The sequence below is a fragment of the Homo sapiens genome, chromosome 12 (genome assembly GCF_000001405.40).
Source record: "Homo sapiens chromosome 12, GRCh38.p14 Primary Assembly".
In the NCBI taxonomy this organism is placed as follows: Eukaryota; Metazoa; Chordata; class Mammalia; order Primates; family Hominidae; genus Homo; species Homo sapiens.
In genome coordinates this window covers 127,322,641-127,340,929 of record NC_000012.12, presented here as the reverse complement: position 1 = coordinate 127,340,929, position 18,289 = coordinate 127,322,641, and the positions used below count along the sequence as shown (strand labels likewise).

Genomic DNA, 18,289 nt, shown 5'->3' with positions numbered 1-18,289 from the left:
AAGTGCTGGGATTATAGGTGTGAGCCACCGCGCTGGGCCTTGGCTTGCAGTTTTGATCTCAGGATTGGTATGACTTTGGAGAAGACAGAGGACACAATTGTTAAAGAGTCCAGAATCTGGGAGAATAAAATAATTTTCAGAGACTGGAACCTCAACCTAGTCTGGCAGGTGGAAGAAGGATAAAAAGTTCTACTCTTAGTTTAAGAAAGTTTTCATTAATTTCAAAATATGCAGCATAACAGCAACATCTGTGTGAAAAAATCTTGGCATCTTTATAAATAGTAAGAGCCAATGAATCAAATGAAGAGGTCGCCATGAGGCTGATGTGATCTTCGTCAGCATTAGTCAGAGCATGGTCCCAGCACAGGCAACGCTGCTGTACTTCATGCCAAATCTGGTCCAGAAGGGTTGTGTGTGTGTGTTTGACTTTTTAAAATTTGAATCCATTTCCAGCATGCAAACATTGTTAATTTCACATCTGGATTCCGAGCTCCTCTTGAAACACCATGTGGTCAGGTTGTCCTGCGCCCATACTCCTGCCGGTCATCATCATCTGGAGTGGACCAGTTGTCTACAGAGGCTCTCCACTCCCCACCACTCCAACTCACTGTAATCTCCACCACTCCCTCTCGCCTTCCACACTGAGGGTGAGGGGCTCTTGTCATTTCTTGTCACATTTGTGCTACTGGCTTTCTGACAGTAGATTTCAGAGTGATGTGAGATATTTCTTTTACACTGGTCTCCATCAAAAATGAGCAACAGATGATAGCCCTCACTCTGTCACTCCAACAGAGAATTCTTTCTAGGTCATAAACAGAACAATGGGAAGTCAGATTGTGTTCTGCTGAAGAGTGTCCATGGGCTGAAGGCTTTTGAAATCAAATCACAGTAGAATTGCCTGAAGGAAGTGAGAGTGTATAGCCTGATGCCGAGAAGAAAAAGCCTGGGGGTAACATACAGAGTGAGAACTGACAGCTCTTTTTAAGTCTTTCAAGGGCCATCATGTGGAAGATGGAGTAGGTTTGTGCTTTTTATATTTCAACAGGGGAAGTTAAAAAGGAACCACTTTTAGCTTACTTTAAGGAAAAAGAATGCAGAGCCACTGAATTCTTTGGTTAAGCTTTCAGACAGATAATGTTGGTCCGAATCCTGGTTCTATCTTCTATGTATTTGATCTTGGGAAAAATTACTTAAATTTCCCCAAGCCCAGTTTCCTCATTTGTAAAATGGGAATGACAATGCTGAGGCGCGGAGCTACCCTTTCTAGAGATCTGTTCTAATGACAGTCCATGAAGCAGAACTGACACTCATCCAAGAAATCTTTGAAAGTGTTTTGGAGAACATCTAGGCTTTTAGAGGTTCCCAGGCCAATTGGTTTTTGTCTTTGCTTTAATTTCTTCTTGTATTTGACCCATGTGCAAATTTTATGGGGCAGTATATGGTCCTCACCATACACTGGTTTTACAGGCAGTATTGAATGGAGTCATAGATAAGAAAGATTTGGAGGAAGACAATGAAGTTAAGTTAAATTTTTCCCTCTCTATTTTATTCTTCTCTCTTTCATGTCTTCTGATAATAAACTGTTGTCAGGTGGAAATCTACAGAGAGGCTGAGCACTGATAAATAAATTATAATTAACTAGTTTAAATGTCGTATGATGCAATACCAGTGAAATTTGGGAGAGAATGAAATGATGTTTGTAAAAGGGTCACACAGTGCTTGACCTCCACTACATCAGTAAATACTACATATACATCTATGTTACATCCATATTCGTATCTTCACCTCTATCTTCTAACCTCTACTTGACTGTAGGACCCACGGAGTCTGGGCTATGTCCCTTTACTAATCACGTGTCCTCTGTGCTTGCACAGTGCCTGATATATATATGGTGCTCAATCAGTACTTTGAACATAGGAATGAATGAATCCAGAGGTGAAATAAACCCTAAGAGTGGCTGTCCAATCTTTGTTGGACAATCCCGAGCGGACTTAACATCACTGAAAATCTTCAAAAAGAGGCAGAAGGGCTTATGTGTCAAACAGATTTGGCAATGGGTGGAGACTTGGACCTGAGTTCTAAGATCCTGTGAACCAAGTCTTCCCTTGATCTTACTGAGTGATTTTAATCTAGATATACTGATTGAACATATATAATGTATAGGAAAGTGTATAAAATGTTGTGCGAGTCACAAAGATGGAATGGATATGGTTTCTGCCGTTGGGAGCTTACACTCTAATGAATATTGATAGCTAACACTGATTGAACAGTGAATATTGATAGCTAACACTTATTATGTGCCAGCTGCTACAAGTGTTGATCCATTTAATTCTCATAACAGTCCTTTGAGGTAGAAAATACCACCTTTCACAGTCCATAGATAAGGAGATGTAGATGGAGGTGTAGATGGTTTAATTAAAGTCATCTAAGGCCACTCAGCTAGTGAGTGTAGCAATCATATATTCAATCTGAAAAGACTGGCTCCAGAGCCTGTAATCTTAACCATGGAGAATTATTGAGCTGTTATTCCTTGTAGTTGTGCAGGACATACTTAGGGGAGGTTCTTATGAGCTAGTATCAAAATGCCATCCCTATGGTCCCCATCAGAGGAATCAGTTGGTAGTGGACTTGTTCCAAAGTATTTGTAAAATACTTTGTTAAAAAAATAGCAGGAAGACATGTTTTCCTAGCTTTCTCAAGTTTCTTTGTACATCTTCACAGGAAGGACAGAAAATGTGGTTTTTAGAGTAAGATTCTCTTGTAATCTTTGGGGATCTATCTTTCTAATATGTGGGCTCCTGTTTTTATTGGATTAGTAATTGTATTTTTGTCAATGAATGATGGTTCCCAGAACCCCAGAAGTCCATCATGCATCATCAACAGGAGATGAGCATCTTTATTCTTGGAAAGAAAAAAAAACATAGAATCATGCTGGTCTCAAAGATGGTGCCCTCCTTTTTACCCTGCAGTAATTCAGTTTCTCAGCTTCCAGCGTCAGCTGGACTAGCAATGAGGAGATTCTAGAGGGCTAGTAAAAGGACATTAGTGTGCAAAAGCCTTCCTATCCCCAGGGAGACATCTTGTTTTCAAACTTAGCCTTCCAGTGGTTAAGGCAGAATATCTTCTGATGGATGAGCTCTCAAGGAAATCTAAGGTTCTCCTGCTGCTTGTTTGGCAGTGTGTGGAAAGCTGGTTACTAAATAGAACCCAATGTCACCTCTGGTGAAGATCAGCAGTTTTGATAGAGCAGCTGCATTTCCGGAGCTAATTTTCAGCAGCTACAAAAGGGCTCTGTGATGAGGTTTCCTCAAGTTTTTAAATTTTCAGATTAAAATATGGAAGGAAATATATTTTTTTTGAATTAGTCCTTTAGAGAGGCACATTTGAACTGCGGTCATTGAGCTAAAGGAATCATTATTCAGGTGGAACAGAGTAGGACAGGTGTGATAGGTAGTGAGATCTGGCAGGGATAACCTGAATTCCCTCACTAGCTATTTGTGGGCATTCTGTTTGCCTGTTTGCAAATAACAGAAATCCAAATATAACTTGCTTGAGCCACTGAAGGAAAGTGTAGTGGGCAAGTAACTAGAAGAGGTAATAATGACTTTAAGTTGGATCCAAAGGCTCCTTAGGATTTGGTTACTCTCCATCTCTTATTTCTGATATCCCCATATGTTGTCTTTATTCTCAGATGGATTATTTCTATATAGTCACCCGCAGCAGCTAAGAGGTTTACATCATTTCACATTCAGGTTCACAAAAAGGAAGATTCTGTTCTCTAGTGCTTCCAACAATATTTCCAGGTTTAAAGAACACTGGGTCTCATGCCCATGACCATTTTTGATCTGGTAGAACTGTGGCCATATAATAAAATAGGTGGATTGGCCATGCCTGGGTCATGTACCCACCTCTGCAGCTGGAGGTGGGATTGGCTTAACTTGAAGCACATGGTCAAGGAGTGAGGATTGATTCTACAGGAAAATTTTCATCTTCCATGAGATGCTCCCTGTACTGTCAAAACACTAGGACCTACTTAGGTCTCAAAATAAGATGAGGTTTTGTTCATGGTTTTCCCATGCTCATGCTATTCCCTGCACTGGGAATCCTGTTCCCACTCCTTCACCTGGATACCTCCCAGTCACCCTGAGACTTGGCTAAAGTGCTCCCTGTTCTGTGCAGCCACCTTCCTGTTGCTCTCCCTGCCAAGGAATCTCACCTCTGTGTTTCCATTGTCCTGTACAGACACATTAGGGACTCAGCACTTTGTATGTCTTTGTGCATGTTGATGCATGTGCCCCTTGGAGGTAGGTGCCATGCCTTGTAAATATTTCTATCCCCATGGTCTATTCAAATACAGTAATAGCAACAAGGACAACACCGTCATTACAACACCCAGTGGTACTGTGCCAGAACTTGTTCTACTTTGTAAAAATACATTACAACATTCAATCTGTACAGCCTTCCATGAAGTAGATGTATTATCCCATTTTTCAGCTCAGGAAACTGAAGCACAGAAAGGATTTTAAGTGTGTGTACTCAGTATATTTTGAATAATAAACATTAGTCTATTACATGTCCAAATTCACAGTACCTAAAAATGGACAAAAAGTTCCTTCTTACTGCTATCTCATTTAAAAACAGATGTTTCTGGAAATGTAGATTTTATGCAAGATTTTTGACTTGAAAATCTCATTCAATTGAATAACATTGTGTGTTTGGCAATGTATAGAGAACTGGTTACCTTTTTAGTTGGAAAGGGCCTATGAATACATTCTGCCTGGGGACTGTCAGTCTGATCTACCCCAAAAGTTGTGCACTGTAGGATCAGGTAAACAAAATAGAAGCTAGAGGCTCAGCCACAGGCAAGGGTGGAATTGAGAGTGTTTCTGAGGAATCCACAGGTATTGATGAAGAGAAAGAAATGGGTTCAGAACAGACTCTTTGCACTGGCTTATCTGGAAAAGGTCCTTGTCTTCTATGGGCTTCCAAAGAAACCCTCTGACTGATTTGAATTTTATTTGGAAGAACATATAGAAAAACTCGAAAGAAGTTTCAGGCTATTTCTTCTTTTTCCTTTAGCAATGATTGGCAAAAATTCCTACAAAAAAACACTGTCATTCTATTTCTGTGCATAGATTTCTTTCCTTTGCTCATCACTAGGAGCCAGACAGCTAAGAATAAGTTGTCAGGCAGTTTGGATGTTATTGCTTAATTTTGTCCTTTATGCTGGTAATTTGGAATTTTATTGTTCCATTCTAATTAGATATGTGCCATGTTTTTCCTGTTGGCCAGGAAAAAATATTGCTGCATTCTCAACCTTTTGTTCCTGTCAGCTTCACTATGATTCCAATATTAATTAGATTGTTTGTTAATTTCTGTCTTTGGCATCTCTAATTAAGAACTAACAATCTGGAATTGTTTCTGCATAATTCAGGGAAACCTTGGAATGAGCCAGTGTAAACCTGCATGCCTCCCAGCTCCACCTGCCCAGTAAACATGGCCATGTGCTTCCTTCCCTCCTCCCCTGGAAGCCTTTCATCTGCTCTTTCCTCAAGGCCCTAGAGTCTTGTGTTTCTCAGAGCCATATTTGTTTTGTGTATATTAGGAGAGAAGGTGACTCTCATTGATGTTTTGGGGCTTGGTTCACACTTTAAACTCCTGCCATGCAGCTTTGATGGTGGGCAGGGAACATCAATTCTCTTTACCATAAAGAAGAACTGCTTTGTGGAATTGGGACTTGTTAATGAGTCAGAGCAGCAGAGATAAGACATACGTGGCTCTCAATCCTAGCATGTGCCCATGGCAGACATCACTAATCAATACCAGCACTCCTTCCTGCTAAACCCTAGATTCTCTCCCAAGCAGAGCTCCTTTGAGCCACAACTATAAATTGACTTGCCTTGGCCAGTGAGATGAACTTATTTCCTATTTCTAGTAGACCTTCTCACAGCCAGCAGAAGTTTTTAATAAGGATTGAAACATGATGTCAATGAGGCAAAGGTATGTATGAGGAAGTCTGATATACTGGAGGAAAACAAAGAGAACTCTTTTCTGTTATGATTCTGGAGCAAGTGATAGGGAAGTCTTTGTATTTGCTTTTCCCCTTTTCTCGTCTCAAAGACAAAAACTCAGCTGCTGATTTTTACACTTTGATTTCACAATTCACAGCATTCTTTTTATAAAAGTTTCTTTTCTAAAATAAATTTTCATAAGTAGTTTTAAAACAAGTTTGGAAAACACACACCCTGCTTTCTACCCTGAGAATATGCTTATCCTGCCAAAGTGTTTATCTTTTCTTTGACTAATTTATGTGCAAATCCTGAGCAGCTAAACTTGTGACTCCAGCACCTGTACCAATGGCACCTAATTAACGGCAGGTTCAGAGAGTGCAGCTAGAGCTGGAGCAGGGAGCTGGGCTGCACCATATGCTGGGCTTTTACCAGATAAACAACCCCCAATCCCTTCTGCGGCACCTTTTGATGCGTATGAAATGCCTGGATCTTTTCCTAATCTAACAAGTGTTGGTGGCACTTTTTAAATCTCCCAACGTCATGAGATAAAGTGCTAAAATGAAAACAGCTCATAAATAAGCATCTAATAGATGCTGTACTGTGTAATAATCTTGGGCCTAAGTTGCAGGTGTACAATTGATAGGGAGAAAAATTTTCATAGCACTTGTTTATAAAGGTGGAATCAAACCTTGTTTCATGTGATTTGGACAAGGCTTCTTCTCAAAGGGAAAAATAATCAGAATTTTTGTTTTCTTCATATAGGAGGCCCAGCAAGCAGATTTGAGAGATTGTGCTCTGTACTTGTGCAATCTAATTGTGTCCTGTTAGAAAGGAGATGTCCTGGGAAACTCAGATTAAGGTGAGCAGCAGACTCTTCTTGTAGTTCAGGTGGACAGAACACAGCCACTGAGGCCTGATATCTTGTAAGCACTGTGAAAACTGTACTCTCCTACCAATCACTGTATTTTACAGCATTTTGCACAATTCTGTGTCCTTCACTCAGTTGGGCCTCCTCCAGGGCATAAGCTCTCTGATTCCCTCTGTGTCCCCAGAGTCCTGCCCAGATCCCACCACAGAACATCACTGGCCCTGAGCCGGGCCTGGAGATTTAGCCTCAGGCTCTGTAAACTCTGTGCCCTTTAAAATGGTGACTTGTCCTTTCGGGGCTACGTCTCTTCAAAGTGGGCACAGATCAGATCTCTGAGGTCTCATTCAGCACCAGGACGTTAAGATTCTATGATGGAGGTGTGTGTTGAATGAGATGGGAAGGGAAGCTGTGCAGTGGTCCCCGTTCTGCCCACCCTGCCCCTGAGGTCCACACTTGCTGGGAGGCCTGGACGTTTCGTCAGTTATAGGATGAGTGCTGGCCAAACCACCATGGAGAGATGAAGAAATGGCACATCCAAGCCATGGTCCAACCACAGAGGCCAGATCAACATATGTGAATAAGAATTGATAAAAAGAAATACAGCCAAGTGCAAAGCATCACAATCACACCTCAAAAGGCTGGGCTAGGGAGGTCTTTTGGAAGTAGGGGCTGAGAGTGACTTCCAGTGCTGGTGAGGGAAGGGAGGGGCTCACGGGGCCTGCCAGTTGCCAGCTGTATGATCCTGGACAACCTACTTCATCTCATTTACTCTGAACCATTCTTGCATGTCTACAATGTTCCAGGCCCCATCCATGACCCTGGACTTCAGAAAGTCAGATAAGGCAACAATCTTGTCTTCCAAGGACATGCATTACAGTCCAGAAAGGGCAGAGAAGTGTTAATGAATCAGTCTTAGCGTATGAAGATACAAAAACGGCTCAAGGTTCCTCAAGCCCCAGGGTCCATGGACTTATTCACCTTTTACTCTCTGTGATAATTATTTGACTTTGCACATGTATTATTTATAGTACTCTAAAGGATATGTAAACAACTTTTACCATGGACACTACCCCAGACTGTGCTGCTGTATTCGAACAGTCACATGTGCAGTCGTGTTCACTGTCATCCTGGGGTGCACATGGACTGGGGCTGTGCACCCAGAATTTAACTCCTGAAAATTCAACTGTATGCTTTGAGCCCAAATTCATGCACATATGTGAGATGAATATATGGATATATGTATATAAATTCATATATAATTAAATATATTAATTCATATATGATATATATCATGTATGGTAAATATATGTAATATATAGTATATATAACTAAATAAAATATTAATTCACATATACATAATTCACAGATACATATATTAGAAACTATGACTATTATAGTGGGCAGACAAGTGAATGGTGGTAATGATGGGTTTAATTACCTCATCTTTTCAAGAAGAAAGTAAGGAATCCATTGAGAACCCGAGAAAAGCCCTACACTTGGGAAGTGTTAGCTGAGCCATGGATGCTAATACAACAGCAACCTCTGTCATTGTATATTCCCTTTCCTTCCTCTATTTTTTTCTTTCTGACCCATCTCACTGCCTGACATTATATTTCATATCTATATGTGTGTTTAGTTTGTCTGTCTCCACCTTTAGATCATCAGCTTCATAAGGACAGGGATTATGTTGTTCATTGCCCTATTTCCAGGGCCTAGAACACTTCTTGGGTCTGAGCTGACATTAAGTAAATACTTATTTAATGAATGAATGATTTATTCTTAGTTTATAGAAAAGGTCTCTGAGGCAGAGAAAGCTTAAATTATCTCAAAATGTATTGGACTCTGGGCTTGGTCTCTAAATCCTCTAAATGAAAGGAAGAACAATGTGAGAGCTGGAAAATATGGGTACCCTCAGGTTCACAGATGTGGAATATGAGTCCCAGACATTGGAGACTGACTTATTCACACCTGCGGAGGGGATGGGTTGAGATAAGGACTCAGGTTTCTGCCACTTCCAGTTCCATCTCCCTAGACTTGAGGACTGATTGTCAAACTCATCCCTAACTAATCCATGCCTAGTGTTTAATGGCAGAAAGCACATCAAGGTTACCTGGGACCAGAGTTAGAGAGAGCTATGTACTGAAAACAGGCATGGCATCTTTTGGGGGTGACAGGAATGTTCTGTCTAAGGGTGTGGTGGTTTCTGCGGTGGACATTGTCAAAATCATGAAATTGTACGATTTAGCTGGATGCAGTTTATGGAACATCAATTATACGTAAATGAGGTTGATCAAAAGCCTCGATGTGTGCATTTAAGTCATGCCCTTTCATGGTCAGCCTCTCATCCTCTACAGGCATGGTCATGTCTTTTCCTTGAGTGGGCTGCTCTAAGGTTATAACACAGGGTGCTGAGAAACCCTCTGGCACAGAAGACCTGTGTACAAATCACTGCTCTGCCCTTGAGCAGCTCTGATCTCTGGACAAGTGTCTTCCCCAAGGCCTTGGTCTCCCCATCCGTAATACAGAGACAGAGCAATTAACATTCACAGTGTTTGCAGGATTTAATGGGTATAACTCTATGCAAAGTTTAATAAACAATACATGGTACATAGTAAGTATATAATACATGATAGCTATTATTGTAATAATGATTGTTATCATATTTCTAGAAAGTGTAAAAACTCAGGAAAAAAAAAAGAATAATTTTGAGTACCTCTGCACATGACACAATGCTAGAGTTACTGAAAAAAGAGGTCTTGATCCAGACCCAAAGAAAGGGTTCTGGGATCTTGTGCAGAAAAGAATTCAAGGTGAGTCACAGAGTGCAGTATTGAAAGCTACTTAATTACAGAGTAAGGCATCCCCTGAAAGCAAGCAGAGGGATGGCCTGTCTTTAAGTTTTTCTTATGTAGGGATCTTCTCTATGTAAAGACTAAGCTAAGTTCTGATTATGTGAGGGTGATCAGATAGACTGACAAAAATTATTATCTTATTGATTTAAAGAAAACTATCCTTGACATTTTAGTGTGTGAGTACATCAAAGCATAACTATAATTATCTTGAAAGTATACATTCTTATGGGTATTGGGACATCTGGATTCTCCATTGTTGTAGGAGTGTGTCCTCATAGGTATCTTCAGGCTGTTTCCTCAACTATAAATATCTTATGACCATGGGTCTTGACTGGCAAGGAGTGCGTCCTGTTGGACTCAAGGTGGAGGTGATTTTAAAATGGTGTCACTGTGGCTCTCCTAGGCTCCTGCTTCACTACCACTAGGACTTTGCTAAACTCTGTAATTAGTGATAAATATTTGATCCTGATGACCAACTAATTATCAACTTTTTAGGCCACATAGATACTTTTTTCCCTTTTCCTAAATTAGAAAGTCTGCTTTTTTAGTATATTTGTAAGAGACACACCATCTGATTCTGTAGCTTTTCTCTCTTCTACCTTAGTAGCACATTTCTTAGGTCAAAGGCAGGGTGATGGGATTGAAATTTAATGCATGGTTAGGTTTCCATCCATGCAGACAGATTGATCAATACAGTGAGAAACTCAGTGGGTGCTATACAGACAGATTCAATTTTTTCTTCTCTCCTAAACAGAAAACAAAGCAAGGGAAGTTTCTTATGGGATCCTCAGAGGAAACCCATTTTCATTCTAAGAATCTTTTTCTCCCCACTCAATTACCCAAGAGTAATGTTTGGCAAAAGTGTTAGTTTGGTAGTGAAAATATTATGCTCTAAAGACAACTTTTCATAAATGATATTTATAGGCCATCTTGCAAACGTTAAAAATTAAAATGGCATAAAATGTCTGTTTTCCATTTCCAAGTTCATGTTTTCCTTAACTCTTCTCATAACAGAATTTGCAGCAGTTGATTCTCCTATTTTCTCTTACAGCTCAAGAGAGCATAGAAGGTATCAGAATGGCTGTTTGATTGTAATCTTTACCCTGGTGTGTCTTTCTATCCCCTCCCATACCTCACCCCCATCCAACACACACACACACCCTCACTCTGTGACATCGTGTACAGAGGTCAAATCACCACTGGGAATCCAAGATCTCATATTTACCAGATTTTAGACCCCAGACTTCTTTTGCCTTTGGTTCTTAAGTTTCTTCTCCTGGTCTGTGTCTTCTCTCATAATATATAAAATCACTTTCATTTTTCTTAATGCCATTACCATGATAGCCTTGTGTGAGTCACCTTCTTTGCCTTCTTACGTATACACACACTACTGGTGGTGGTGTACAGAAATGATTGGGTCCCAGAGGAAACAGCTGTGACATATTCATTCACACACTCAGCATCTACTTATTGAACACCTTCTGTGTGCCCAGCACTGTCCTATTAGCAGAGATAGTAGGGAAGAGGAGACAGGTCATGGTCTCAAGCAGATTACCTTCAGGTGGGGAAGAGAGATAAGAAACAACCAGGAGGGTTCCGAGAGTGGTAATTACTGTGAAGGAGTTCATCATATAACAGAGCAATCTGGTGTGATTAATACAGTGTAAGTGACATGATATAAGCAATACGAAGAGTCTAAGTAATGCATCAATGTTGTAAATATAAGTGTGCACAGTAGCACACACAGCAAATTAGATACAGGAAAATAGTGTAATGGAGACAAAGAGTAACCAGAGGAGGGTGCCAAGTTTAAATTAGAAATGGCTCAAGGAATGTATACTGAGGAGTGGCATTTGAGATGAGGTCCTGTATCATTTATAATCCTTTTGGTGGCAAGTAACAAAACCACATAGATCCAGATGGCTTTACCAACAAGAAGGGCATCTCATAGTGGGGAGGTTCCAGGCAGCTGGTCCAGCAGCCCCTCTAGGTCATCAAGTCCCGAGTTCCTCTGTCTTTCTGTCCATCTGAACTCGCAGGGTCAGCCTGGCCCATTTTGGGCTCCCTCAGGGCTCTGGGATCTCTGGGGCAGTTCCTGTCGTCATTTCCTATGCGACAACATCCTGTAGGAGGAGGAGGCACCACTTCCCATGAGTCTCTTTGACCAAGTAGGCCTTTCCCAGAAGCCCTGCCGTGGACTTCTCACAGCTCATTGGCCAGAGTAATAGCACATGCTTTCCCCATAAATCAATCACTGGCAAGGAGGATGGGGGTTTAATTACTGAGTTAGAGGGGCACATGGTGAATGGAGGGTTATCTGAAGAAAACCTTATTACTATTAAAAGAGAGTGTGAGAGTGTGTGTGTGTGTGTGTGTGTGTGAGTTGGGCAGGGGGCTGGTGTGTGGTCACATGGCTACTAAGAAACACTTTTTTTTTTTTTAAGATAATGCATATCCCATAAGAAATAACTCAAATAATAGTCACGCAGAATTGCCAAAGCCTCTCACTTAGTTTCATTTTTCACTTATTTTTCCATGTGGGCTATCTCTCAATTCCTGAAAGCTGAGGCAAATTTAAGTCTGCATGTGCTCTGAAAGAATGCCGAGGGTCACTGCAATGTGATTTCATTTCTTATGTACAGAAAGGGCCTCAAGATTTCTAAAGTCGATATGTTCCTGACAATCGGATGTGATTCAAAATGATTTGAAGTAAAATTGGTGGTGAGGGCGGGGAGCGAGAGGGAGTATATATGGTCAAATCAAAATTTTCCACAAATGCAGGAATGTAGAGGTCTTCTCTACAGGAGATAGGATCAGGAAGTCCTTGTAGTAGGGGACAACCACCAGAACAATGGAGAAGGTGAAGAACTTCCTAATGCATCCATTGCAGCCTTCTTGTTTGTAGCAAGCCCGGCTATTTTCATGGAGGTCTGCATACCACATGCAAAGAGCACATCAAGTCCAGGCAGATTTGGGAAGCTTCTCCGAGGAAGTGACTCGCGCTTAGATAGGCAGAAAGAATAAATGCTGAGCGAATAAAACAACCAAGGCAGTCATGGAAGTGTCTGTTCCAGGAAGAGGGAATCACATGGCCAGAGGCCCTGAGGTTAATAGTTATGGCACAGCCCCTGGAGATACTAAAAGTACCTCCGTGGGGCTGGATCATTGAGTGACCAAAAGAAGGTGGGAGAGGAGATTTGGAAATAGATAGGGCTAATAACGGAGACTGAGTCAGAGATCCTGAAAGCCAAGGGAAACCATCAAAGGGCTGTAAGCAGGAGACGATTAGATCATATTTGCATACACAATCTCTCAAGGAAGAGTAGGGCAGTGTGGGAAGAGGGGATGTGAAGAGAGCAGTTTTGAAGTTGTGGCAAATGTCCAGGTGGGAAGTGATGGAGGTCTGGGCTAGTATAATAGCAGCGAAGAGAAATTCGTAGGCACAAAAGACACCTAGGAGTAAAACCAAGAGAACTTGAAGTGTTGCATGTCGGTGGTGAAGAACATGGGTGGAATTAAAGAAGACATCGTGATGTTCAATTTGTTCTGCTGGATAAAAGGCAATGTTAGTTATTGAGATGGAAGACTGTGCTGTGGGGGAAATAGGAGATCGTGAGTTTGATTTTGTATGTTTGGCCGCTAAGAAACTATTGAGCCTTTCATCTGATGATGTCAAGAGGCACATGCATCTGGAGCTCAGAAGGGAGGTCTGAGCTGTAAATAGACACTTGGGTGAGGAAGAGAAACATCAAGAACAGTCCCAGTTTGCAGCTTGCTAAAGAGGCTGCATGGCGGCACCACTTGCTGAGATGGAGAACTCAGCCAGCAACCAGTCTGACGTTGCACCCGTCAACGATGTGTGTGATCTTGAGCCAGCTATGCCACCTCGCTGGCTTCAGTTTCTTCATCTGTAAAATGACATTGCGGGCCCCTTACAGTTTTATGAATCTGTGGTGAATTGATGGCTTATTTTGCATCCTCCTTCCTCTTTCCTTCTACACACATAAATGCATTTTCCTGATGGTCCAGGAGAGAAATTCAGCAATATTTTAATAGCTTATCTGGAAGATGTGAAGTGAAATGGAGGCTTAAATTGTCTAATACTTAACCTGCCTACTTACGCACGTTAAAGAGGCTAATCCTAAGTCCCGAATAAAGAGAATGTAATGAAATACCACAGTCTCACTTCTTTTCCACAAGATTACAGTTTAATGGGGGCAAAACATTGATATTTCCAGTGCATTTTGTGAATATTTTCTTATCAAGATTTTAATCTAGTGCAAAGCTCTCATGATTAACAAAAAAGTGATCCCCTTTATGGGTTGAATAAAGTGATTTTTTGGTAACACATGGCCACCTTTTATATATTTTCCAATATGGTACAAGAATTTTTGTTTGATTAACAGTAGGTTGAGCAGACCTGTTAAAGAACACACACACACACACACACACACACGCAAACACATATGTGGCAACAAAGCTTATGTTACTTTATGAAATTATATGTATGGTTTTACTTGTCAGTATTTTGTAATACCAAATAGTTTTCTTGGTAAGACAAATACTTTTTAGTATTTGTCACTAATCAGTGCCTACAAATTACCTTTTGTACAAGTCCTGTTCTTCTGGTTGTCTTGGTGTCTTATAAATCAGAACTATTGTGTCTCATGAACTTTCACTATTTTCAATTTTTGCTGGTGCTTTTCCTGTTGATGTATCTCAAGGTTCTACCTCCTCCCCAAAGGTTTCTAGCAACTGTGAATCCATTTTATGAATGGGAAGGAAATGAGGCACATGGTGACCTTCACCTGCAGCACCTTCCCTCTCAGTATGAGGCCACCATCTGGACGCCGAGACTCCTTTGGCAGATTGAGATCTGGAACATGGAGTGAGCTACAACAAGGGCTGGAGAATTTTAGTGGCCTCCAACAGAAGCTGAGAAACCAGAGAGGAGACTGTGGATCTGATGCTCCTGGGACTCAGAACCTTTAGAACTCTTTATAAATGGGATAAAACTGGCTCTCCGGGGCTCAGACCCTAGGAAAGAATAATCCACAATAGTTAACAATGGTCTGGGCTTGGTCAGATGGATCTGACTTGCATATTTACTAGCACTTTGATGTGAAAAAATTAAAATGGGAAGAATAATCGTGTCTATCTCATAGGATGGTTATTAAGTTTAAGTAAAATAATGCAATACTTAGAAGCACTGAGCACAAAACCGGGCCTTTAGACGACAGCTGTAGTTACTTTTATTCTAATTTCCCTATTGTTCTTTCCTGTGTTATTCATTTTCAGCTATTTGTGGATGCCAACCAAAGTCCATAGACTTCAGTACATTGGGTGAGGGTGTGGAGTCTGGAGTCAGACTGCCTGGTGTTACTCCTGGCTCTGACCCTTATACCTGCATGACTCCAGACTTGTTATTTAACTTCTGTTTCTCAGTTTCCTCACCTACAAATTGAGGATGAGAATTATACTTCCTAGTTGTCCAGAGAATTCAATGAAATATATCTGCGAAGCACTTAAAATCATACCTGGCAAAAAGTAAGCACTAAAAAATTATTGAAAATTTCTAGAAATTACTATTGTATTATTGCAAGTATGCTAAAATACTGAATCAAATATATTCCTGATGTATTATAGATCAAACATAGCACAGGTTTTTTCCAGCTTACTTGGTAGTCCACAGTGGGCATTCCTGAGTATGAGGTAACTCTCCTCAATGGCTGCAGAGCCCCAGAGGCCCCAAGAGCCTTCCATCCTCAGGCTCTGCCATCATCTTGGGCTTTATCGTTGTCTGGGTCTGGTAAAGAGAGCATGGAGGAGGCAAAACTACTTCTTAAAATCTTTTGGTCCAGAGGCAGCAGGAATTACATGAATTATTTTTATATTTCTCCAATTCTATCGGTTAACATGTCTCATGTGACTATGTCTACATGCACGGGGTGCTAGGGAATGTAAGCCAAAGCAAGGCAGCACATTTGGCAAAGGAGGCCCATTTAAAAACAAACAATAAACAAAAAAGCACTCAAATTATAGATAGATGATCATACCTATGACAGAACAGCTACCTCTCCACCAAAATCATTCTTCCTCTTCCTTGTCTTGGGTAAGAACAAGGAGAAGAAAAAGAAGATGATGAAGATGGAGGAGGAGGAAGGGAAAGAGTAAGAAGGGGGAATGAGAAGAAAGGAGAAAGAGGAGGAGACAGAAGAGGAACTAACTGATGGTGTCGTTAAAGACCTTTTGAGACTTCATCGGCCACTGAGAAGAAGGTGGCATTTGAGGGTTATGGGGCCTGATCAGCCTCAAGCAGGTTATTTATATCATGCTTTGGCTTCTTTCCAGATCACCAGTGTTTGTTTCAGTGATGTTTTCTTTTTCTTGCAGAGGACAGAAGCCCAAAACTAAGCTGTACAGTCAAAAACGTCTAGCTGTTTCTTGTAGCAGATTGTGCCAGTAAGCGTCACTGAAGAGTAATTTCAAGGGCTGGTGAAAATATAAGATAAAACACTGATTACAGGATGACAGGTTTTCTCTGCTCAACAATCTTTGAATTATTCAGAAAACTTTGCTTCCAGAGTGGTATATTAATAATACACCTAAGCAAATATTTTGTTGCTTAAGCTGAAAGGCATTTTCTCCTTGAAGGGAAAGCTTCTGAAGATGGCAGTAGATTAACATACCCAAATATCTTGATATCCTCAATAGGAAGAAAGTCAAGTTAAGTTTCCTGATCTAAAGAGTCCAGGAAATTAAATTCTCTCTATGTTCTGTTTCTGAAGTACTGCAGAAACTGCTCAAGATGGAAGGATACCAGAGAAGAAAAACATTGCTCAATGTTTAAAACTTATTTTATTTTTTGAAAAAAGAAACATAATAACTTAGTCCAAAATCAAACAACATAAAAAGTATACATTGAAAAGTTTATCCTCACCCTATCTACTTCCAGCAATTTCCTTCCAATTCTATCTGTAGTATTTTTTCATTTTTCTTCTTGTTTTTTTTAAATAAAATAAAATAAAATAATAATGCACACTATTATACCTTTTCCTTTTTCATTCTTGCACTGAATGGAGTACGCTGTATACACCATGCTGCTCTTGTTCGGTTTTCTCATTCCACAGTAAATCCCGGAGGCTTTCCATGCCACGGCCTAGAAAGCAACCTCATTATTTCACAGCCACTGTGTGTTCCAGGGTGGGTTTGTTCCTTAGGTGTTCCTGAGCATTTTATTCCACTTTTCCTGTTAAAAGCTTGCTTTCCCTTTACCCCACTCAAAGCAAAACACAGTCATGTCACTGAGATGTGGTCCGCCCTTCACCGTTTCCAAATTGCTCTGATTTGATGCTTAGATAGTAGCTTTGTGAAGCTGAGAATGAATACCCTCTATTCCAGATGCAGAGCCTGAGGCTCAGAGGAATCCTACCATGCCTGAGGTGTCTGCATCCAGTGGCAGAGGCAACTACAAAGCTCCCCTAACCTCCCCACACCACCACCATGCCTCTGCTCTCAGGGACATCACAGGAAGGACCCAAGTAGCTGATGGTCCCTCTGTTGGCAGCTTCTTCAATCCCCCCTCACACGCAAGGAACTTGAACTGAGATATCATCCATGCTGTTTAATTCCTGGATGGTTTTGAGTAGGAGATCAGGCCTTTCACACACGTGATTCTACTTGCTTTGGTTCAAGATTCTATTAATAATAGAATGGGCAGGAAACCACATTGCAAGGTCAGCTCTTCAGGTTAAAAATAGTGAGTTTGCCAATATTCAGCCTTCCAAGAAAAGGGGAGAATAGAAGTGAGGAACCCATTAAACACACATGAAATTATAACTATTATTATGTTTTAATATTTTTGTAATATCTCCCTCCCGTTTTCTAAAATATAAGCTTCCCAGGCACAGAGGACAAATCTGTTTCACTCACTACTGCTTCCCCAGAGCATAGAACCTGGCCTGGCACTCAGTAGGGCTCATGGAAAATATCTATTGATCAGTTCATGATAAAGAGGAGGAAGCAAAGTTCTTTGGGCCTTCAAGAAGAATGTTTGCTGGATCCGGGTGGCAGCCCACAGACGCCAGGAGTGCCCTGCACATATATGGGGCTGGGAGGACAGCACGGGTCTCCATCACCCTCTCTTGGGACCACCTGTGTCCGTGCACCTCTTTTCATATTCCTGTTGCCTGTACATTGCAGCCAGAGCCCTGAAGCTGTGCTTCCTCCCTGGGCTGGGCCGTGGTAGGTGGGGAATGGGTTGTATGAGAGTTTTTGCTCCACATCTCTCATCTCTCTCTATTGCCATCTATACCTGGTAACTGAAAAATGGCATGCCTTTCCTGGGTTAGAAGAAGTAATTAAAAGTAATTTTTCATTGCTGGTTACTGAACAGGAAGCCTCTAAGTCCATTAATGAAACAGAGAGGGAAGTCTGGTTTGTACGAATGAAGCTTTCGCCTCTAAAGGCAAAGGAACCACTGAGAATGGCACATTTGGAGGAAGATTGTGCACATTTTGCTTTTTAAGATGGATGTCACACTGCAAAAATATCACAAC

The 18,289-nt window shown here is 41.0% G+C and overlaps 1 long non-coding RNA gene across 1 annotated transcript; it reads left to right on the top strand.

Annotated features, from left to right (window-relative positions):
- Positions 1-857: 857 nt before the first annotated feature.
- Positions 858-16,775, top strand: LINC02375 (long intergenic non-protein coding RNA 2375). The gene is made up of 3 exons (NR_110057.1): positions 858-961; positions 6,774-6,870; positions 16,125-16,775. It is a non-coding gene; the product is annotated as a long intergenic non-protein coding RNA 2375 (long non-coding RNA).
- Positions 16,776-18,289: the final 1,514 nt, after the last annotated feature.